This window comes from Homo sapiens, chromosome 19 (genome assembly GCF_000001405.40).
Source record: "Homo sapiens chromosome 19, GRCh38.p14 Primary Assembly".
Lineage (NCBI taxonomy): Eukaryota > Metazoa > Chordata > Mammalia > Primates > Hominidae > Homo > Homo sapiens.
Window position 1 is genome coordinate 48,637,463 of NC_000019.10, and position 21,968 is coordinate 48,659,430.

General features: G+C 52.0%; 1 protein-coding gene and 1 pseudogene across 3 annotated transcripts in view, besides 7 other annotated features; one reads left to right on the forward strand and one right to left on the reverse strand.

Moving 5' to 3' along the window:
• Nucleotides 135-354: a silencer, noted in NCBI's record as "silent region_10895". NCBI's record gives its function as "represses an Ori minimal core promoter by ATAC-STARR-seq in GM12878 lymphoblastoid cells {active_cell/tissue: GM12878}" and the evidence as "EXISTENCE:reporter gene assay evidence [ECO:0000049][PMID:35858748]".
• Nucleotides 484-8,725, reverse strand: CA11 (carbonic anhydrase 11). Of its 2 annotated transcripts, none has more exons than NR_136241.2 (9): nucleotides 8,104-8,725; nucleotides 7,941-8,015; nucleotides 6,965-7,107; nucleotides 2,633-2,818; nucleotides 2,326-2,421; nucleotides 2,087-2,159; nucleotides 1,843-1,997; nucleotides 778-1,591; nucleotides 484-682 (listed from the first exon to the last, which is right to left on the reverse strand). NR_136241.2 is itself a non-coding variant. In NM_001217.5 (9 exons), the coding sequence occupies exons 1-9, from the start codon at nucleotides 8,168-8,170 to the stop codon at nucleotides 657-659; spliced, it is 987 nt and encodes a 328-aa protein (NP_001208.2). In that variant the 5' UTR covers nucleotides 8,171-8,725; the 3' UTR covers nucleotides 484-656. The 2 variants fall into 2 exon arrangements, 1 of the variants encoding a protein (NP_001208.2); NM_001217.5 differs by having other exon boundaries at nucleotides 1,426-1,591.
• SEC1P (secretory blood group 1, pseudogene) overlaps nucleotides 577-21,968 on the forward strand; it is a 44,207-nt pseudogene continuing 22,815 nt past the window's right edge. The window contains exon 1 of the transcript NR_004401.2: nucleotides 577-684. The product of NR_004401.2 is annotated as a secretory blood group 1, pseudogene (transcript). The remainder of the gene's footprint in view (nucleotides 685-21,968) is intronic.
• Nucleotides 965-1,134: an enhancer, noted in NCBI's record as "active region_14904". NCBI's record gives its function as "activates an Ori minimal core promoter by ATAC-STARR-seq in GM12878 lymphoblastoid cells {active_cell/tissue: GM12878}" and the evidence as "EXISTENCE:reporter gene assay evidence [ECO:0000049][PMID:35858748]".
• Nucleotides 6,653-7,354: an enhancer, noted in NCBI's record as "NANOG-H3K4me1 hESC enhancer chr19:49147372-49148073 (GRCh37/hg19 assembly coordinates)". NCBI's record gives its function as "activates a minimal SCP1, AML or CMV promoter by ChIP-STARR-seq in naive H9 embryonic stem cells {active_cell/tissue: H9 hESC(naive)}" and the evidence as "EXISTENCE:reporter gene assay evidence [ECO:0000049][PMID:30033119]".
• Nucleotides 7,355-8,055: an enhancer, noted in NCBI's record as "NANOG-H3K27ac-H3K4me1 hESC enhancer chr19:49148074-49148774 (GRCh37/hg19 assembly coordinates)". NCBI's record gives its function as "activates a minimal SCP1, AML or CMV promoter by ChIP-STARR-seq in primed H9 embryonic stem cells {active_cell/tissue: H9 hESC(primed)}" and the evidence as "EXISTENCE:reporter gene assay evidence [ECO:0000049][PMID:30033119]".
• Nucleotides 8,056-8,756: an enhancer, noted in NCBI's record as "H3K27ac-H3K4me1 hESC enhancer chr19:49148775-49149475 (GRCh37/hg19 assembly coordinates)". NCBI's record gives its function as "activates a minimal SCP1, AML or CMV promoter by ChIP-STARR-seq in primed H9 embryonic stem cells {active_cell/tissue: H9 hESC(primed)}" and the evidence as "EXISTENCE:reporter gene assay evidence [ECO:0000049][PMID:30033119]".
• Nucleotides 8,714-8,903: a silencer, noted in NCBI's record as "silent region_10896". NCBI's record gives its function as "represses an Ori minimal core promoter by ATAC-STARR-seq in GM12878 lymphoblastoid cells {active_cell/tissue: GM12878}" and the evidence as "EXISTENCE:reporter gene assay evidence [ECO:0000049][PMID:35858748]".
• Nucleotides 8,934-9,343: a silencer, noted in NCBI's record as "silent region_10897". NCBI's record gives its function as "represses an Ori minimal core promoter by ATAC-STARR-seq in GM12878 lymphoblastoid cells {active_cell/tissue: GM12878}" and the evidence as "EXISTENCE:reporter gene assay evidence [ECO:0000049][PMID:35858748]".

Here is a 21,968-nt window from a genome sequence, read left to right on the forward strand (position 1 = left end):
CAAACCAAAACACCCGACGCCACAGCGCGCGCCCCTCCTCCGGGTCCCCGCCCGGCGCGTCCAGCCCCGCCAGCCTCTATGGGCATGCAACCCAGCCGCGTGCCTCCCTCCGGCTGCAAACACGGACCAATCGTCTCCGACACCTTGAGACGCACAGCCAATGGGGCCTCTGGGTCCGCCAGGGCCCAGGAGGGCGCGTGAGGGGCTCAGCGCGTGAAGTTGCCTTGCCTTTCGGTGGGAGGCGGGACACTGACCTACATTTGCCCAATGGGAGGCGGTACTGGGGGGCGGGACCGTGACCCAGTTTGGGCCAATGAGGCAGGCGGGAGGGGGAAGCACATGGCTCTGCTCGTGCTGCCTGATGGCGAGGGGGGTGATGGGGGGAAAAGGGGCGCCGCTTAAAGGGGCCGCGGTCCTAAAGATGGTTTTGAGAAGCAGGAAGCCAAAATACCGAGAGCGGAGGTTTAGAAAGAGGAAGATTGGTTTCCGGAAGAAGTCTGTTCTTTAATACCCAAATGTTTCCCCACCGCGCCTAGAATCAGACCACTGAGAAAACAGGAAGTATTCTGTCCCTTTAATAGCTTTGTTTTAGGGGTAACTCCCCTCGCCTTGTGGGGAGGCTTAGGACGGGCGGGTGCAATCCTCGAAGGGGAGTCTCAGCGACCATGGGGGACACCATCCACTGTAAGACAGAGAACAACGGCAGGGGGCGTCAGTATAGGATGGAAGGGGCGGGGGGTGTGCAGGGGGCGTGGGCTGCGCCGCGCTGGGCCCTACCGTCGGAAGTCTGCGAGCGGGGAACCAGAATGTACTAGGTCGAGAAGCACTGGGCTGAACCACAAGAAGCCAATAGGAGGGGGGAATCGGGACGTCCAGATTCAGCAGTAGGCTGAACTACTTGAAGGTCTTCATGGGGGGGGGGGGGTGTGGACTGTACCATGTTGCGAAGCCGGGGGTGTGTGAGATTCCTGGGCTAAACCACAGGGAGGCAGAGGTGGAGGGAAGGGGTTGTACCTTGTAGATTCTCAGTAAGGGGGAAGGGAGCATCAGATTGTGGAACAGCGTAAGGTAGTACGACTTGGAAAGGGAGAGAGGATCCAAATTGTACCATTTTGGAAATTCACAGTAATAGGAAGCACAGAACAGTAGGTAATTGGACCATAGGAAGGCAGGGGTCAAGGGTTATAGACCAAGTTACAAAGCAGTGAAGAGGAAAGACAAATCGTGGGCTAGCAATGGCCTAGGGCTGGCAGGTGGACTGTACCACATAGACATGTAGGGAAAGAGAGAAAAAGAGACAGCTCACGAGGCTAGACCATATAGACGCAGGAAGGAGGATGGGACTGAATCACACTGAGACACCAAGGGGAGACACATATAAGAGGGTTAGCCCAAGACTTAGAGGGGGTGCAGACTGGACCATACCATGCAGGCGGTAGTTGGGGCCTCGGCAGCGCCTCTCGGGGTGCCGGGGGTCCCTGTTGCCCCTCAGTGCCCTGTGGGCCAAGGGCTGCAGGGGCCGGCTGTTACCGCTGAGGCTCTGGAAGATCTGAGATGGAGGATTCTGGCTCAGGAGTCTCAGGGAGTGCATCTGCAGTGGAAGGAGGGTGGGAAACTGGGAGTGAATAGTGAATGGTCTTGGTGACGTCACGCAGGAAACCCCGCCCCTGGGAGCAGGTGGGCGGGGTCTGTTCTCAGCCCCACCCACCCCCAAGGTGGTCTGACCCTCTTACCTACTTGAGTTCAGTCTATGAGGAGAGGGAGGGCAGGTGAGCAAGGGGATGCCCAGGCCAGTGAGTGGAGTACCCAGGCCTAGGAAGGGCGGTGCGGACAGAGGGTCACCTGAAGGGAGGTGATATTGAGGGCCCGGTCAATGAGGATCCAGGTGACAGTCTCGGAGCAGGGCGGGGTGCTGAGAGAGCCCTGATAGGTGATGAAGCCGAAGGATTCAGGGAACAGGAGCTCCAGGCTCAGGTCTTGAAGAAAGTAGGCATCATCTGCGGGAATATCAGGCCAGAGTAAAGAGGGATGGCACTCTTGAACCCCCTCGTGTGTGACCACTGCCCCCAGCACGCCAGGGACTTACTCTTGTAGGAGATGCGAGTGATGGTGTCGCGGTTAAGGAGGCGACTGAGGAATGGGTTAGAGGTACTGGCAACCTGTGTGGGGGTACGAGGTGAGGACACAGGAGCCCAGAAGTCCAAGCCCTCAACCTTCTCCTCCCCCAGGACCCAGGAGTCTGGGCCTCCCAGCACCCCGCTTCCCTCAGACCCCGGGTTCCAGGCACCCAACTGCTCCCTCCCTCTGAATCTCGCCTCCGCTCACGTTGACAAAGAGGCTGAGAATGGCCAGGCCATTGGGGCCGCGGGAGGCAGCGCTGAAATTCCCGTAGAGTTCCTGGTTGAAGTGAATGAGCTGCACCTGGGGGTAGCACAGAGCATGGGGTCCCCCAGCAGAAGGGGAGGAGAGCATGACCCCAGCTTTGGGGGCCCGAATCAGGCTGAGGATTAGTGCTTAGGGTGGGAGGCCAGTTCTGTGGAGGAGGATGGGGTGAGACACTAAGAGGGTGAGGTGGGAGGAATTGGGGTGACTCAGGGCGGAGGGTGGCGGGTAAACAATCAGTGGCCACTACCTCAGCAGAGAAGCCCTGGTGGTTGATCTGATGTTCCGAGCCGGCTCCGTCGCGAGCTCCAAACAGCAGCCGCAGTTCACTGAGTCGGTGGCTGTAAAGGAGGGGACCTCCAGACACATTGACCACAGGTCGGGGTGCAGGCAGGAAGGAGACATGTCGGCCGGTGTTGTACAAGGTTCCCCGGAGCTGTGGGAGAGGCGGGAGCTGTCAGGGGGCAGGGAGAGATCTTTTATCTCTCGTTTCCCACGCCTACATTTTCTGATTCCAACAGTCTTTTTTTTTTTTTTTTTTTTTTTTGAAACGGAGTCTCGCTCTTGTTGCCCAGGCTGGAGTGCAGTGGCGTGATCTCGGCTCACCGCAACCTCCGCCTCCCGGGTTCAAGCGATTCTCCTGCCTCAGCCTTCCGAGTAGCTGGGATTACAGGCATGCGCCACCATGCCCGGCTAATTTTTTATTTTTAGTAGAGACAGGGTTTCTCCACGTTGGTCAGGCTGGTCTCAAACTCCCGACCTCTGGTGATCCACCCGCCTCAGCCTCCCAAAGTGCTGGGATTACAGGCGTGAGCCACCGCACCCGGTCTTTTTTTTTTTTCTGGGGGGAGACGGAGTCTCGCTCTGTCGCCCGGGTTGGAGTGCAGTGGCGAGAGCTCCGCTCACTGCAAGCTCCGCCTCCCGGGTTCACGCCATTCTCCTGCCTCAGCCTCCAGAGTGGCTGGGACTACAGGCGCCCGCCACCACACCCGGCTAATTTTTTGTATTTTTAATAGAGACGGGGTTTCACCGTGTTAACCAGGATGGTCTGGATCTCCGGACCTCGTGATCCGCCCGCCTCAGCCTCCCAAAGTGCTGGGATTACAGGCATGAGCCACCGCGCCCGGCTTTTTGTTTTTGTTTTTTTTTTTTTTAAATAGAATCTCACTCTGCTGCCGAGGCTGGAGTGCAGTGGTGAGATCTCGCCTCACTGCAACCTCTGACTCCTGGGTTCAAGCGATTCTCCTCCCTCAGGCTCCCGAGTAGCTGGGACTACAGGTGTGTGCCACCACACCCAGCCAATTTTTGTATTTTTAGTAGAGACAGGGTTTCACTGTGTTGGCCAGGCTGGTCTCAAACTCCTGACCTCAGGTGTTCTGCCCACCTTGGCCTCCCAAAGTGCTGGGGTTACAGGCGTGAGCCACCGTGCCTGGCCTCCAACAGTAATTTAATCATTCAACATAATTTGAACACTGACCACTTTCCAGGCTCTGTGCCAGTTTGTAAGTTGGTGCCCAATATTGGTGAATTTGTTTGATTAACAAATATTGACTGAGCTGGTGCTATGTGCCGTGGATGCAAGAATAGAGCAATAAACAAGTAGACAAAAGTCCTGGGCCTTATGGAGTTTATGTTCTAATGAAGGCAAGACAGACAATTGTGAATCACATAAGTAACTGCTTAATTAACTACATCCTGAGCTCATGTTTGGGGGAACTGGGAGCTCTGAGGTGTCATGGGGAGCTCAGCTTAGATGGGGGATGTCAGGAAAAGCTTCCCTGCAAAGGTGACATTTTATTTTTATTTATTTATTATTTTGAGACAAAGTCTCATTCTGGCACCCAGGCTAGATTGCAGTGGTGCCATCACAGCTCACTGCAGCCTCAAACTCTTGGGCTCAAACGATCCTCCTGCCTCAGCCTCTCAAGTAGCTGGGACCACAGTCACATACCACCATGCCCAACTAATTTTCAATTTTCTTTTTTTTTTTTTTTTTTTTTTGGTAGAGAGGGTTCTCCCTATGTTGCCCAGGCTGGTCTTAAATTCCTGGGCTCAAGTCATCATCCTGCCTTAGCCTCTGAAAAATACTGGAATTACACGCATGAAGCACTGCACCTGGCCAAAGGTGACATTTTAATGGGGACCTGAAGGATAAGCAGGGGTGACTTGCAAAAGAACAAAGAGAAGGGCATTCCAAGAAGAGGGAACAGCAAGTGCAAAGGCCCTGAGGTGGCCTGTTTGAGTAACAGCAAAGAGACTTCATCAAAGTCCAGTGAACAGAGGAGAGAGAGGTTATGGGGGCTGAATGGTGCAGGACCTTGTGGAAAACAGTAGAGAGTTTTGTATTTTTATTTAAATAAACTGCATATATAGGCTGGATGTGGTGGCTCACGCCTGTAATCCCAGCACTTCGGGAAGCTGAGGTGGGCAGATCACCAGAGGTCAGGAGTTTGAGACCAGCCTGGCCAACATGGTGAAACCCCATCTCTACTAAAAATACAAAAACCAGCTGGGTGTGGCGGTGGGCGCCTGTAATCCCAGCTACTTGGGAGGCTGAGGCAGGAGAATCGCTTGATCCTAGGAGGCGGAGGTTGCAGTGATCTGAGATCATTCCATTACACTCCAGCCTGGGCGACAGAGCGAGACTCCGACTCAAAAAATAAAATAAAATAAAAATAAATAAACTGCATATATATAACACATTTGCCAGAATGCCAAACATATAGTAAGTGCTATGTAAATGTTTGCTGTTATTACATATCCTAATAGGAGGATTTTGAGCAGGAGTGATATGATCTTATTTGTGTTTTAAACATCTCTCTAGCTGTGGGGTGAATAGATTGCAGGAAGTTGAGAGGCAGGCCAGTGAGGAGGGTACGCCACCAGTCCAGGTGGGAGATGATGGTGCCTACATGAGACTGGGGGCAGTAGAGGGCGTGATAGGTGAAAGGATTTGAATAATATTTAGCAGCAAGGCTAGAAAGAACATGGATTGGAAATGGACATGAGGGAGAGAGGATAGGATGGGGAATGGCTTTGAGGCTTTTGGCTGGGGCAGCTAAATGAAAGGCAGTGCCGGCTCTTATAAGAAATGGTATTGGCCAGGCGCGGTGGATCACAGCTGTAATTCCAGTACCTTGGGAAGCCAAGGCAAGGAGGATCACTTGAACCCAGGAGTTCGACATCAGCCTGGACAACATAGTGAGACCCCACCTCTACAAAAAACTTAAAAAGTTAGCCAAGCATACTGGCATGTGCCTGCAGTCCTGGCTTCTTCCTTCCTTTCCTTCCTTCCCTTCCTTCCTTCCTTCTCTCTTTCTCTCTTTCTTTCTCGCTCTCTCTCTTTCTTTTCTCTCCCTCTCTCTCTGTATTTATTTCTTTCTGAGATGGAGTCTTGTTCTGTCACCCAGGCTGGAGTCCAGTGGCGTGATGTCAGCTCACTGCAACCTCCGCCTCCCGGGTTCAAGCAATTCTCCTGCCTCAGCCTCTCAAGTAGCTGGGATTACAGGCACATGCCACCACACCCGGCTAATTTTTGTATTTTTAGTAGAGATGGGGTTTCACCATGTTGGCCAGGCTGATCTCGAACTCCTAACCTCGTGATCCACCCACCTCGGCCTCCCGAAGTGCTGGGGTTACAGGCATGAACCACCACACCCAGGCATGTCCTAGCTATTTTTGAGGCTGAGGTAGGAAGATCACTTGGGCCCAGGAATTTGAGGTTACAGTGAGCTATGACTGGGCCACTGCACTCCAGCCTGGGTCACAGAGTGAGATCCCAATTCCAAAAAAAAAAAAAAAAAGTATGGTTCCCAGCATGGTACTATAAAGCAGGTCCCAGCATTCATGCTACGCTGCTTGGTTTGAATGCCAGTGCTGGCTCTCTGTGTGATCCTAGGCAAGTAACTTAACCTCTGTGTGTCAGTTTCTGCATGTATATAATAAGGTTAATAATTGTACCCATTTTGGCTGGACGCAGTGGCTCATGCCTGTAATCCTAGCACTTTGGGAGGCCGAGGCAGGTGGATCACCTGAGGTCAGGAGTTCAAGACCAGCCTGACCAAAATGGAGAAAACCCATCTCTGCTAAAAATACAAAAAATTAGCTGGGCGTGATGGTGCGCATGCCTGTAATCCCAACTACTCGGGAGGCTGGGGCAGGAGAATCGCTTGAACCTGGGAGGTGGAGGTTGCAGTGAGCTGAGATCACATCATTGCACTCCAGCCTGGGCAACAAGAGCAAAACTCCATCTCAAAATAATAATAATAATAATAACAATAATAATAATTGTACCCATTTTGTGGGGTGGTTATGAGATGAGAGGCTTATCAAGGTTTTAAATCTGCCTGGCACAGGAAATGTTCTGCTTTTCATTGCTTCTGCAGAGATGGGGAGACTAGGGGACCATGCTTGGGATGGGAAGAATGGGTGATCCATTTTACAGTGTAAGCAGCCTCCTCTCCACCCACTGGGTGTCCCCTCCTCCCCCAAGGCTGCTCTCCTACCTCAGCACCCCATTCCCCAGCCTCTATTCATGCCCATCCCCAGTGGGTTCAATAGCTCCTCCCTCCAAGCCCCTTACCTTCTCTCCTCCAGTGCTGAGCCTTAATGGGGGCAGAAAGGGGTCATAAAGAACCCTCTTCAGCTCCACATCCACGGGGCTCTGCCGCTTCCCCACAGCACACAGACTCCACGCTGCATTCACCAGGCCCCAGAAAGGAGGCCCTGGGGGTGGGGTCGGAGTAGGAGGACAAGGAGTCAGAAATAGAGACTGGATCCCAGGGCTGGTATCTGCTGAGTGGGCTGTGGTCTGGACTCCCAGATCCCAGGGGAGGAGGGGCTAGGGACCTAGACTCCTGGGTCTGAGGGAGGACTGGGCTCAGATCCAGAATTCTGGGTCCTAGAAGAATCTTGGAATAGTTTCCAAGTTTAGCAGAGACGGGTTTCACCAAGTTGGCCAGGCTGGTCTTGAACTCCTGACCACAGGTAATCCACCCACCTCGGCCTCCTAAAGTGCTGGGATTTCAAGCGTGAGCCACCGCGCCCAGCCGATCAAACCCATCTTAAGCCACTGTAGATGGAACTACAACTCCCAGCAGGCCCCAGTGCTACCAGCCTACCCCTCTGCTGCCTACCTGCCCCAGAGCCCCGTGGGAGTTGTAGTTCTTTTTTTTAATCGCTCTTATCCCACAGCTGGATTATTATTAATGTGTTGGGGAGAGGAGCTGCAAGAGAAGGCTGGACAAGGTGGGGGACGGGGCCACCCAGCCTCTGGTTCCTAGCAGGAGCCAGGACCTTCCTCTCCCGGCAAACACACACATAATCTCCACCCCCACACTTTCCTTCCACTCACTCCCACTCACTACTTGAAATGCGCATGTATAATGTCCCATGGTGAGCCCCTGGGGTTCAGAAGCTGGCCCGACTCCTGAGGGACAGAGGAGGGGGCTGGGACTCCTGGTCCTGGGGGGGAGGAGGGAGCTGGGAACCCAGGTTCCTGAGTCTGAAGAAGGAGGCGCCGGGAGGGCCGGACTCCTGGGTCCCCGCCTTGGCGGCACCTGGCACGAAGTTTCCCTGGAGATTATCCTTGTAGCTCCACCAGTCCTCGGGGTCAGGTGCTGGTCCGATGTGAGCTGGGAAGAGAGCAGCCTGAATCCCTCTCCTTGGCATCCCCACCTCCACCCTCCCTCGGGGGCTCCTCCCGGGAACCCCAGGTCTTACCTGCTGCCCCCAGTGCAGCCCAGAGTACCAGCGCTCGAGGGGCGCTCAGACGAGCTGCAGCCCCCATCCCCAGGAGGCCTCCGAGGGACCCCTGCCCAACGCCCTGCCCCCCTCTCTCAGCTCCTCTGTCCCCTCCTTCTGGGACCCTGTCCCTCCAGGACTTCCAGCTTTCCTCTCCTCCCCACAGGGAGTCCCAGTTCCCCAAATGCCAAAGCAGCCAGGGACTGAGATCCGCCCTTCAAACCCACTCTTCTTCTCTCTCCCGTCTCTCTGTGTCTTTCCTCTTTCCTCTGCTCTTTTCCCGGAACCCTCCAGTCTCCCTCTAGCTCCTGATCTTCCTACTCCTCTCAGCCTTCTGCTGCCCCCAGGGCTACCTCTTGGTTCCTAACCCACACCTCCTCTCCGTTCTCTTTTCATTAAGCTCTCCCAAGCCACCTAACTCCAGGTCTCCATCCCGCATCTCCTCCTCCTCCTCCCTCTCTCCTTTCCAGCTCCTGCCTCTTCTCCCCTCTCTCCTTCTTCACCTCCTCCCGCCCTCCCTCAGTGTCGGCCTCCAGCTTCGTGCTCTCCCCACCTCCTCCTCTCCTGCCTCTTCTCCCTGTTTCAGTCTCTCTTCTCTCTTGTCCCTTCCTCCCTCCTCCCCCTCCCTCTCTCCTCTCCCGTGGTGTTATTTAATTTTGTTGTTGGGCTGGGGGAGCAGGTGATCTCATAGCGGCAAACACTCCTCGGGTTGGCTTGGGGTGGGATGTGCGAAAGGGCAGGATTCGGAAGGAGGTAGGGGGCTGGTCCTCGGCTCCCAGCCGCGCTGGGGCCACGCGGGCGGGGGTGGCCGGGACACCTGGGGCCGGGAGCAGGCTGTTTCCATCCTCCGCAGCAAGGGGAAGGGGGGGCGCTTAAGGTGGAGCTGGGAGTGGCTTCGGAAGTCTCCATGCTGGGGGCCGCCGGCCTTGGCGGATGCAGGGTCCCCCTGCTCGCTGGGACCCAGGTTGGAGCCGCCCCAGCGCCCGCAGCCCCCCTTCCCCGCCCCAGGGCTCCACTGGGTCTCTGCCTGGGGCTGCCTTAACGGGGCCGGGGGATCCCCTAGGAGCCTGAAGTGCAGTGAGGGCTGCTCGCCTGGAGGGGGAGGCAGAGACCTGGCGAGGGAGAGAGGGGCGGGGAGGAGGAGCCGGGAGGGCAGAGGCGGAGAGCGGGAGGTGAGGACCCACATCTGCGTAGGCTGGGGAGGGGAAGGGAGCCTGAGATGGATACGGAGAGGAAGGGCGGAGGGACAGAAGGTTAGAGAGGCAAGAACAAACCGCCAGGCAGGAGTGAGGAGGAGGGGGAGGAGGTGAAGGAGGAGGGGGAGGAGGGAGAGGAGGGGGAGGGAGAGGAGGGGGAGGAGGGAGAGGAGGAGGGGGAGGGAGAGAGGAAGGAATGAATGAGAGAGATACAGATAGAGGCAGAAAAGGAGATACAGAGACGCAGCGAGACAGACATGGAGACATAGAGACACACACTTAGAGATAGACAGAAACTCAGAGACCAAGCAGCAGATGGGGTGGGGAGAGACAAAAAGAGAGAAAGAGCGATCCAAAGACAGAGAGAGACACCACATTTTTGTATTTGGGGAGAAGAGATGGGGTCATGCTATGTTGCTCAGGCTAGTCTCAAACTCCTGTCCTCAAGGGATCCTCCCACCTTGGCCTCCCAAAGCATTGAGATTACAGGCATGAACAACCATACCCAGCCTCAGAGAGACCACATATTACTGTTGTTGTTGTTATTTATTATTTTTCACCCCGTCTAATGGTAGTGAAACTGCTCATTGTCTTCTTTTATTTTCTTTTTTGAGACAAGCCTTGCAATGTCACCCAGGCTGGAGAGCAGTGGTGCGATCATGGCTTGATCCAGCCTCGACCTCCTGGGCTTAAACACTCCTTCCACCTCAGCCTCCCAAATAGTTGGGACTACAGGCACATGCCACCATGCCAGGCTAATTTTTAAAAATTATTTTTTGTAGAGATGTAGTCTTGCTATGATGCCCAGGCTGGTCCGGAACCCCTGGGCTCAAGGGATCCTCCTGCCTTGGCCTCCCAAAGTGCTGGGATTACAGGTGTGAGCCACCTTGTCCAGCCTGACACCAAACATTAACGAGACAGAGAGACATAGAAAGAGACACACATACATCAGTACAGGTGGAGAGAGACACAGAGAGGGAGAGACATAGAAACACACACACAGACTGAGCATGGTGGCTCACACCTGTAATCCCAGAACTCTGGGAGGTCAAGGTGGATGGATCACTTGAGGCCAGGAGACTGAGACCAGCCCGGCCAACATGGCCAAATGCCATCTCTACTAAATACATAAAAACTTAGCCAGGCATGGTGGCTCACGCCTGTAATCCCAGCACTTAGGGTGGTCGAGGTGGGTGGATCACCTGAGGTCAGGAGTTCAAGACCAGCCTGACCAAAATGGTGCAACCCCGTTTCTACTAAAAAATACAAAAACTAGCTGAGCGTGGTGGCACACACCTATAATCCCGGCTACTCAGGAGGCTGAGACAGGAGAATCGCTTGAACCGGGTAGGTGGAGGCTACAGTGAGCCGAGATCCCAACAGTGCACTCCAGCCTGGGCAACAGAGTGAGACTCCATCTCAAAAAAAAAAAAAAAAAGAAAGAAAGAAAGAAACACACACACAGAGCTAGAGACAGAGACCTGGGAACAGGCACACACACATCTATAAATAGAGACACTCGTGCAGAGAAAGAGACATCAACAGAGAGGAACAGATGGACAGAGATAGAGAGACCCAGATAGAGGGAGAGAGGACCAGAAGCAGACCAACTGACATGATGGGAGAGACTACAAAGGAATCAGAAAGACAGAGGTATTCAGAGATAGCAAATTGGGATGGACATTCAAAGACCTAGAGATGGAGAGAGACACCCAGAAAGAAACCCAGAGAGTCAGGGGTGGAGAGAGACACGAAGAAAAAACACAAGAAGGAAAGGTACATACTAATAATTTATTGCTGGCGGGGCTTGGTGGTTCATGCCTGTAATCCCAGCACTTTGGGAGGCTGAGGAGGGAGGATCACTTGAGATCAAGAGTTTGAGACCAGCCTGGGCAACATAGTAAGACCTCGTCTCTATTTTTTATGAAAAAGAAAAAAACAGGCCGGGCACAGTGGCTCACACCTGTAATCCTAGCACTTTGGGAAGCTGAAGCGGGCGGATCACGAGGTCAGGAGATTGAGACCACGGTGAAACCCCATCTCTACTAAAAATACAAAAAATTAGCCGGGCGCGGTGGCGGGCGCCTGTAGTCCCAGCTCCTCGGGAGGCTGAGGCAGGAGAATGGCGTGAACCCGGGAGGTGGAGCTTGCAGTGAGCTGAGATCACGCCACTGCACTCCAGCCTGGGCGACAGAGCGAGACTCCGTCTCAAAAAAAAAAAAAAAAAAGAAAAAAGAAAAAGAAAAAAATAGTTGGGGAACGGCAGCTCACGCCTGTAATTCCAGCACTTTGGGAGGCCGAGGAAGGCAGATCACTTGAGGTCAGGAGTTTGAGACCAGCCTGACCAACGTGGTGAAACCCCGTCTTTACCAAAAATACAAAAATTAGGCTGGGCGCAGTGGCTCACGCCTGTAATCCCAGCACTTTGGGAGGCCAAGGCGGGCGGATCACAAGGTCAGGATTTCGAGACTGGCCTCACCAGCATGGTGAAACCGTGTCTCTGCTAAAAATACAAAAATTAGCTGGGCATGGTGGCACACGCCGAGATTGCGCCACTGCACTCCAGCCTGGGCGACAGAGTGAGACTCTGTCTCAAAAAAAAAAAAAAAACAAAAACAAAAATTAGCCGGGTGTGGTGACGCATGCCTCTAGTCCCAGCTGCTCGGGAGGATGAGGCATGAGAATCACTTGAACTCAGGAAGTGGAGGTTGCAGTGAGCCGAGATCACACCAGTGCCCTCCAGCCTGGGCAAAGAGTGAGACTGTCTCAAAAACAACGACAAAACAAAACAAAACAACGACAAAAAAATCTGTTGTTGTGTGACAAATTACCCTAAAACTCAGTGGCTTAAAACAACAAACATTTATTGTGTTCACAGTTCCTGAGGGCCAGGAATGTGGGAATGGCTTCATTGGGTGGTTCTGGATCCTTCTTGAGGGTGCAGTGAAACTGTTGGACAGGGCTGCAGTCATCTCAAGTCTTTTATGACCTAGTCTCCCAAAGTCACACACCTTTTATTCCACGCATCAGAAATGAGTCACTAGATCTAGCCTACACTCAAAAGGAAAGACGTTAGGATCCTCTGCTCTTGGGCCGGGAGCGGTGGCTCACGCCTGTAATCCCAGCACTTTGGGAGGCCGAGGAAGGCAGATCACTTGAGATCAGGAGTTCAAGAGCAGCCTGGCCAACATGGTGAAACCTCGTCTCTATTAAAAATACAAAAATTGGCCGGGCGTGTTGGCTCACGCTTGTAATCCCAGCACTTTGGGAGGCTGAGGCGGGCGGATCATGAGGTCAGCAGATCGAGACCACGGTGAAACCCCGTCTCTACTAAAAATACAAAAAATTAGCCGGGCGTGGTGGTGGGCGCCTGTAGTCCTAGCTACTCTGGAGGCTGAGGCAAGAGAATGGCGTGAACCCAGGAGGCGGAGCTTGCAGTGAGCTGAGATCGCGCCACTGCACTCCAGCCTGGGTGACAGAGCAAGACTGTCTCAAAAAAAAAAAAAATACAAAAATTAGCCGAGCATGGTGGCGTGTGCCTGTAATCCCAGCTACTCAGGAGGTTGAGGCAGGAGAATCGCTTGAAGCTGGGAGGCAGAGGTTGCAGTGAGCCAATATCGAGCCATTGCATTCCAGCCTGGGCGACAGAATGAGACCCTGTCTAAAAAAAAAAAAAAAAATCCTTTGCTCTTGAAAGGAAACGTATCACAGAATTTGGGGATTAATTTTCAAACCACCACAGGTGGGGAGAGGAAGAGAGACACAGAGTTGTGGAGAGATGGACCCTTAAAGACTTGGGAGGGGCCGGGTGCAGTGGCTTATATCTGTAATTCCAGTGCTTTGGGAAGCTGAGGCAGGAGGATCACTTGAGCCCAGGAGTTTGAGACCAGCCTGGACAACACAATGAGAACCCATCTCAGCAAAAAAAAAAAAAAAAATTTTTTTTTTTTGAGACAGAGTCTAGCACCATTACCGAGACTGGAGTGCAGTGATGCAATCTCAGCTCACTGCAGCCTCTGCCTCCTGGGTTCAAGCGATTCTCCCGCCTCAGCCTCCCAAGTAGCTAGGATTACAGGAGCCTGCCACCAAGCCTGGCTAATATTTTGTATTTTTAGTAGAGACAGGGTTTCACTATGTTGGCCAGGCTGGTCTCGAACTCCTGACCTCATGATCCTTCTGCCTCGGTCTCCCAAAATGCTGGGATTACAGGTGTGAGCCACCGTGCCTGGCCTCTGCAAAAAATTTTAAAAACCTTGTCAGGCATGGCAGTGCACAGTTGTAGTCCCAGCTACTTGGGAGGCTGAGGTGAAAGGATGACTTGAGCTCAGGAGGTCGAGGCTGCAGTGAGCCAAGATCACAGCATTGTACTCCAGCCTGGGCAACACAGCAAGACACTATCTCCAACAACAACAAAAAAGTTAAGGATCTTGAGACGCAATCATCCTGCATTATCTGGGTAGACTCTAAATCCAATGACAAATGTCCTTATAAGAGAAAAAAAGCCATAGGGAGATTGGGAGAAGGCCGTGTGAAGATCGAGGCAGAGGTTGGAATGAGGCAGCCACAAGCCAAGGAATGCCAGGAGCCACCAGGAGCTGGAAGAGGCATGAAACATTCGCCCCTGGAGTCTGTGGAGGGAGTATGGCCTTGCCAACACCTTCATTTTGGACTTCTGACCCCGAGAGCTGTGAGACAATACATTTCTGTTGTGATAAGCCATCATGTTTGTGGTCATTTTTTGTGACAGCCAGCCTGGGGCTGGGGAGAAATTAAGACATGGAACCTGGCTGGGCGCGATGATTCACACCTGCAATCCCAGCACTTTGGGAGGCTGAGGCAGGCGGACTGCTTGGGCTCAGGAGTTCGAGACCAGCCTGGGCAACATGGCGAAACTCCATCTCTATTTGTATTTAGTAAAATTTAAAAAGAAAGAAAGAAAGAAAGACATGGAGTCCGACAGAGGCAGAGGCAATGAAGGAACTAGAGCTATACAGAAAGTGAAAGGCTGACTGATACTGCAAGAAGAGCAGACTCTACCTAAAATGTAGGGCTTTCCTCCTCCAGGAAGCCTTCCCTGACCGCCCCCCCCCCCCCAGGCTGGGTCAGTGCTTGCTGTGAACATTCACAATGTCCTGTGCTACCTCCATGAGAGCATACATCTTGTTAGAAAGGGACTGTGTCCCCATGTGTTCCACCGGAGGGCCCAAGCCTGACCCGTCTCTGAGTCCCCAGCCTCACTGCACACAGAGCCTGGTGTACGGGGTCCTCAGGAGAGAACTCAGGCATTATTGAATGAAACCATGCTCATGATGTCTTTCCCTGGAGAGTCTGCCAGTTCCCATGTGCCTGGGTGACACTCGGGTTTTCTGCAGTGCCCATGGAGGGCCTTGCCTCCTCCAGGACGTCTTCCCTGAACTGCAAGACATGGCCAGGTGCCTCTTCTAGGCTCCCACAGTGCCCTGCGCTGCCTCCATTGTTGAATATCCTACCAAATCTCATTGTACCAAGGTCTCCCTCCTACCCCACCCTCCCAGACTAGGCAAGTCCCTAGTCCGACTCAGGTCAGGGTGTCAGAATTTTCCAGGGAGACCACAGGAGAATATGTTGAATGAATAAATAAGTGAGTGAATGAAATAAAAACACAGGGACTGTGGCACTGAGAGACAGGTGAGAAAATAATGTTTTTGTATAGGGCTTAAGAGGAAGGCTTTGGCCGGGTGTGGCTCCCGCCTGTAATCCCAGCACTTTGGGAGGCTGAGGTGGGCAGATCACGAGCTCAAGAGATCGAGACCATCCTGGCTAACACAGTGAAACCCCGTCTCTACTAAAAATACAAAAAATTAGCCGGGCATTGTGGCGGGCGCCTGCTGTGGTCCCAGCTACTCAGGAGGCTGAGGCAGGAGAACCTGTGAGGCAGAGCTTGCAGTGAGCCGAGATAGCGCCACTGCACTCCAGCCTGGGTGACAGAGCGAGATTTTGTCTTTAAAAAAAAAAAAAAAAAAAAAAAAAAGAGGAAGGCTTCCTGGTCCTGGTGTGATCTGGTGTGTTAGAACATTTGACTTTCTTTTTTTTTTTTTTTTTTTTTTTTGTGAGGCAGAGTCATTCTGTCACCCAGGCTGGAGCACAGTGGTGGCAGAGTCTCATGATCTCAGCTCACTGTAACCTCCACCTTAGGGTTCAAGCGATTCTCCTGCCTCAGTCTCCCAAGTAGCTGGGATTACAGGGGCCCACCACCACGCCCAGCTAATCTTTGTATTTTTAGTAGAGACGGAGTTTCACCATGTTGGCCAGGCTGGTCGCTGGTCTTGAATTCCTGACCTCAGGTTATCTGCCCACCTTGGCCTCCCAAAGTGCTGGGATTACAGGTGTGAGTCACCGTGCCTGGCCAACATTTAACTTCCTGACTATCTCCATAATCCTAACCAGTGCTCAGGATGCATCTTTTCCCCTCAAGTCCTCCCCACAGCCTCCTTCTCAGCTTCTCCCCCTTCCAGTTTCCCTCCCCTTGCAATCCATGCCCCACAGATCCCAGAGGGTTTTATTTTTATTTTTATTTTTTTTTGAGATGGGGTTTTGCTTTGTCACCCAGGCTGGAATGCAATGGCGTGATCACAGCTCACTGCAACCTCAACTTCCTGGGTTCAAGTGATCCTCTCATCTCAACCTCCCAAGTAGCTGGTACTACAGGTGTGTGCCACCACACCCAGCTATTTTTTAATTTTTCTTTTTAAACTGTATTTACTTATTTATTTATTTATTTAAACAGGGTCTTGCTCTGTCACCCAGGCTGGAGTGCAGTGATGTGATCATAGCTCACTCCCAGGCTCCAGGGATCCTCTTGCCTCAGCCTCCCAAGTAGCTGGGGCCACAGGTGCATATCACACACCCAGCTAATTTCTGTTTTTTTGTTTTGTTTTGTTTTTGTTTTTGTAGAGACAAGGTTTCACCGTATTGCCCACACTAGTAATTTTTTTTTTTTTTTTTTTTGAGACAGGGTTTCGATCTTGTTGCCCAGGCTGGAGTGCAATGGTACGATATCGGCTTGCCGCAACCTCCGCCTTCTGGGTTCAAGCGATTCTCCTGCCTCAGCCTCCCGAGTAGCTGGGATTACAGACATGCGCCACCACACCCGGCTGATTTCGTATTTTTAGTAGAGACAGGATTTCTCCATGTTGGTCAGGCTGGTCTCGAACTCCTGACCTCAGGTGATCCGCCCGCCTTGGCCTTCCAAAGTGCTAGGATTATAGGCGTGAGCCACCGCGCCAGGCCAACACACTAGTCATTTTTTATTTTTTTGTAGCGATAGAGGTCTCACTATGCTGGCTGGGCTGGTCTTGAACTCCTGGCCTCAAGCAGTCCTCCCACCTTGGCCTCCCAAAGTGCTGGGATTACAGGCGAGAGCCACCCTGAGTGGTTGTGTTACATTCAGAGTGGACCCTGCCTCTCCCACGGCTCCCCTGCACCTCTGGACAGAGTCCCCCTCCTCAGCCTTTCTTGTCGTGACCAGATTCTTCTAATGTCCTTGAAGATCCACCTGTGAGAGAAGTTTTCTGACCTGTAGGCTGGGTTTGGGGTACTCTCTGGGCTCCCCCAGTGAGCTGAGCCACCTCAATGATGATGATGATTGCCCGTATCACTCTGTTTTAACACGGTTTGTCTCTCACACAAAGCTGATTCTGCCCCTCCCCTGCTCACAGACCTCCCATGGCTCCTCAGTGCCCTGGGGGAAAAAAACCCAGGTCCTCAGCCTGGTCTGAGAGAACCCACATGCCCTGGCCACCCCCAGTCCCCAGCCTCATCTCTTCTCTCACCACAGAGACCTCCTGCCCTGGGATCTTTGCCAAACTGTTTCCTCTAACTGGGCTCCCTTTCTCCCTTCTCTGCTGGGCAAATTCCTACTCAGACTTCTGCACACTTCAGGAGTCCCCTCCTCCAAGAAGCCATCTGGCAATGCCACGAGGTGGGCAGGGGCCTCCTCAGAGCTCTGGAAGCCACCTGTGCTGCCTCCATTATAGCGCAAAGACAGACTGGGCTCGGTGCCCAGAGGGGGAGGGAACGACCAGGCCGGAGGTGGGTCCCAGATGTGGATTTCATGCCTATTCGTCTCGGGTGCTGGGAACAAAGTTTGGGTCATGAGGAACATATGGGGCCTGCTCTGCACCATGCTTTCATCTCCTATCTCCCCAGCCCCTGAGTGGGAGGCGGCAGCGCCAGGCCTCTACAGGCCTGGGTGGTTCCCACAGCCCCTCTTGGCCTCCTCACTGCTATCTCTTTGCCTTCAACTCCCACTGCCCCTGGGAGCCTAGAAAAATCCTCCTTGATCTATACTCTCGCCTTCTGGGTTCCAGTCTCCTGGAGGAGGTGTGGACTGTGGACTCTGGGTGTTTAAATTTTATATATATATATATATATATATAGAGAGAGAGAGAGAGAGAGAGAGAGAAAGAAAGAAAGAGAGAGAGAGAGAGAGACAAGAGTCTTGCTCTGTTGCCAGGCTGGAGTGCAGTGGCGCAATTTTGGCTCACTGCAACCTCCACCTCCTGGGTTCAAGCGATTCTCCTGCCTCAGCCTCTAGAGTAGCTGGGACTACAGCTGTGCACCACCATGCCTAGCTAATTTTTCTTCTTTTTCTTTCTTTCTTTTTTTTTTTTTTTTTTGTTGTTGTTGAGAAGAAGTCTTGCTCTGTCGCCCAGGCTGGAGTGTAGTGGTGTGATCTCAGCTCACTGCAACCCACCTCCCAGGTTCAAGCAATTCTCCTGTCTCAGCCTCCCGAGGAGCTGGGACTACAGGCGCACGCCACCACACCCAGCTACTTTTTGTATTTTTAGTAGAGACAGGGTTTCACCATGTTGGTGAGGCTGGTCTCGAACTCCTGACCTCAGGTGATCTGCCCACCTCGGCCCTCCAAAGTGCTAGGATTACAGGCATGAACCACCGTGCCCAGCCTATTTTTTCTGTGTTTAGTAGAGACGGGGTTTCACCATGTTGGCCAGCATGGTCTCGAACTCCTGACCTCAAGTGATCTGCCTGCCTTGGCCTCCCAAAGTGCTGGGATTACAGGCGTGAAAGACCACGCCCAGCCTAAATAATATTAATAACAAACTCAAGGCCCTGAGCAGTGGCTCACGCCTGGTGATGGGATTACCCAGCACTTTGGGAGGCTGAGGCAAGAGGATTGCTTGAGCTCAGGAGTTCAAAGCCAGCCTGGGCAACAGCAAAACCTTGCCTCTATTTAAAAAAAAATAAAAACAAAAAAAAACCTAGCCTGGTGGCTTGCGCCTGTAGTCCTAGCTACTTGGGAGGCTGAGGCAGGAGGATCCCTTGAGCCTGGGAGGTTGAGGCTGCATTGGGCTGCAATTGTGTCACTGCATTCCTGCCTGGAAGACAGAGTGAGACCCTATCTCAAAATAAATAAATAAATAATAAACTCATACAGCTGTCAGTCTGCACTAGGCACTGTTCTAAGCCCATTATATATATTAACTCATTTAATCCTCAAAACGTACCCTGTAGATTATTTTCTATTATTTTATTATCATCCTCATATTATAGATGAGAAAACTGAGCGATGTGGCTCAGCAGGGCTGGGATTTGTGGTTTTGTTGTTTGTTTTTTGTTTTTTTTTTTTTTGAGATGGGGTCTCGCTGTGTTGCCCAAGCTGGAGAGCAGTGGCATGATCTCGGCTCACTGCAACCTCCACCTCCTCGATCCAAGCGATTCTCCTGCCTCAGCCTCCCGAGTAGCTGGGATTACAGGTGTGCACCACCGGGCCTGGCTAATTTTGGGGGGATTTTTTTGTTTTTGTTTTGTTTTGTTTTTTTCTGTTTTTTGTTTGTTTGTTTTGGCTTTTTGTTTGTTTTTTTCTGTCTAGCGGAGGTTGCAGTGAGCCGAGATCATGCCACTATACTCCAGCCTGGGCAACAGAGCGAGAATGTCTCAAAACAAACAAACAAACAAGAGACCTTGAGATGGGGAAGAGATTATTCTGGATTATCTGGGTGGCCCCATCTCCCATCCAAGAACTAACAGGGTCTGACCCTGCTTAGCTTCTGAGATCAGACAAGATCGGGTTCATTCAGGGTGGTATGGCGGTAGACCGGGTGCCCCTCGTCTAATTACAGGAGTCCTTAAAAGCAGAGAACCTTTCCCAGCCATGGTCAGAAAGAGATGTGAGGATAGAAGAGGCAGGAAAAATCTGAAATGTGAAAGGGACTCGACCTGTCGTGGTTGGCCGTGAAGATGGAAAAAGGGGTCATGAATCAGGCAATGTGGGTGGCCTCTAGAAACTGGGAATAGAAAGGAAACAGATTCTCTCTTAGAGGCTCCAGATGGAATGCAGCCTCGTTAGCACCTTGATTTTAGCCCAGTGAAACCCATGTGAGGCTTTTGATCTGTAGCGTGTAAGATGATAAATTTGTGTTGTTTCAGCTGCTGAGTTTATGGTAATTTGTTATGGCAGTAACAGGAAAGGAATTCGACAGTTCTCTGTTACTGAGCACGTGAGGGAATTCTACGTCCCCACCTTCATACAACTGAGTGGAACCACATGAGTAATCCCGATGAATGAGCTGTGATTGGAAGGGCCGGGAGTCGTTCCTGGACCAAAGCTGTTTTGCTTGCATAAGACCATTCAGTGCTTTTCCTCTTTCCTTGTCTCAGTGATCAAGGATGCCCTGGGTTACGGGTGGTGCTACAAGGTGGTGAACATCTCTCAGCCTGGGTCCTTGACTGTGTGGAAAACCAACCTTTGCCAACTTGCATGGAACATGTATATGAACAAGAAAGAAACTTTGTGTTTTCTTTTTCTTTTTCTTTTCTTTCTTTCTTCTTCTTCTTTTTTTTTTTTTTTTTTTTTTGAGACAAGGTCTTGCTCTGTCAACCAGTTTGGAGTATTGTGGCCCAATCATAGTTCCCTGCAGTCTGGACCTCCTGGACTCAAACAATTCTCCTGCCTCAGCCTCCCAAGTATGAGGACTACAGGCAGGCACACACCACAATGCCCAGCTAATTTTTGTATTTTTTGTAGAGATGGAGTATCACCATGGTGCCCACGCTGGTCTAGACCTGGGCTCAAGTGATCACCAGCCTCAGCCTCCTAAAGTGCTGAGATTACAGGCATGAGCCACCACACCCAGCCAGAACTCAATAAACTCCATAGAGCCAACAGAGCTAGCCTAAGCTGCCTAATGGAAGGTCTCAATGAAGTAAGGAAACTGGCTTGCCATAACATGAAAAGGTGTGTTCCAGGAAGAGAACAGCAAGTGCAAAGGTCCTGGAGCAGAGTGTGCTTTTTTTTTTCCTTTGAGACGGAGTCTTGCTCTATTGCCCAGGCTGGAGTGCAGTGGTGTGATCTCAGCTCACTGCAAGCCCCACCTCCCTGGTTCACGCCATTCTCCTGCCTCAGCCTCCAGAGTAGCTGGGACTACAGGCGCCCATCACCACGCCCAGCTAATTTTTTTGTATTTTTAGTAGAGACAGGGTTTCACCGTGTTAGCCAGGATGGTCTCGATCTCCTGACCTCATGATCTGCCCGCCTCGGCCTCCCAAAGTGCTGGGATTACAGGCGTGAGCCACCGTGCCCAGCAAGTGTGCTTTGTTTTTAAAGGAATAGGAAGAAGACCAGTGTGGCTGCAGTGATGTGAATGAGGAAGACTTATAAGAGGTGAGGTCGGTGATGTGGTGGAGGTAGATCATGCAGGGCTTTGTGGGGCAGGGCAGGGACTTTGGGTTTTATTTTGAGAGTGATGGGAAGCCATTCAAGAGTTTATTTTTTGTGTTTTGTTTTTTGTTTTTTTCTGCATTAAAAAATGCAGAAGAAAAAAAAGAGTTTATTTTTAGCGATGGGGTCTCACTCTGTTGCCCAGGTTGGAGTGCGGTGCCACGATCATAGCTCACTGCAGCCTCCGACTCCTGGATTCAAGCAATCCTCTGCCTCAGCCTCCCAAGTAGCTGGGACTACAGGTATGCACCACCATGTCCAGCTAATTTTTTTTTTTTTTTTGTAGAGATGGGGTTTTGCTATGTTACCACGTTTGCTGGTCTTGAACTCCTGGCTTCAAGTGATTCCCACCTCAGCTTCCCAAAGTGCTGGGGTTACCGGCATGAGCCACCATGTCTGTCCTGACATGATTTAAAGTGATCATCCTGGCTTCCATGTGAAGAAGACTTTCAGGGGGTAGTGATGAGAGTAGTGTGGGGACTATTGTAATAATCCGGACGAGCAGTGATGGTGGTTTGGACAAAGGTGGTAGCAACAGAGATGGTAAAAATGGTTGAATTATGGGAGATATTTTGTGGATGTGGACAGGATTTGCTCATGGATTGGATATGAAGGTGGAGTATGGGGGCAGTGAATGCCCAACTGAATTGGCTTCAAGAGAGGATGAAAATAACAAAGATAAGGAATATAGTTTTTCTGGAACAGAGGACCCTTCTTAGAAAATTCCTTGGCCGGGCGCGGCGGCTCACGCCTGTAATCCCAGCACTTTGGGAGGCTGAGGCGGGTGGATCACCTGAGGTCAGGAGTTCGAGACCAGCCTGGCCAACATGGGGAAACCCGTCTCTACTAAAAATACAAAAATTAGCCGAGCATGGTGGCTCGTGCCTGTGATCCCAGCTACTCAGGAGACTGAGGCAGGAGAATCGCTT

What these genes read in the sequence shown, in the direction of transcription:
- CA11 (NM_001217.5), bottom strand. Translation starts at nt 8,170, where the DNA reads ATGGGGGCTGCAGCTCGTCTGAGCGCCCCTCGAGCGCTGGTACTCTGG. An exon ending in GGCTGCACTGGGGGCAGCAG is followed by an intron (nt 8,016 to 8,103) that starts GTAAGACCTGGG and finishes CTCTCTTCCCAG; the next exon opens with CTCACATCGGACCAGCACCT. An exon ending in CCCCAACTACCGCCTGCATG is followed by an intron (nt 683 to 1,425) that starts GTATGGTCCAGT and finishes TCTGTCTTACAG; the next exon opens with TGGATGGTGTCCCCCATGGT.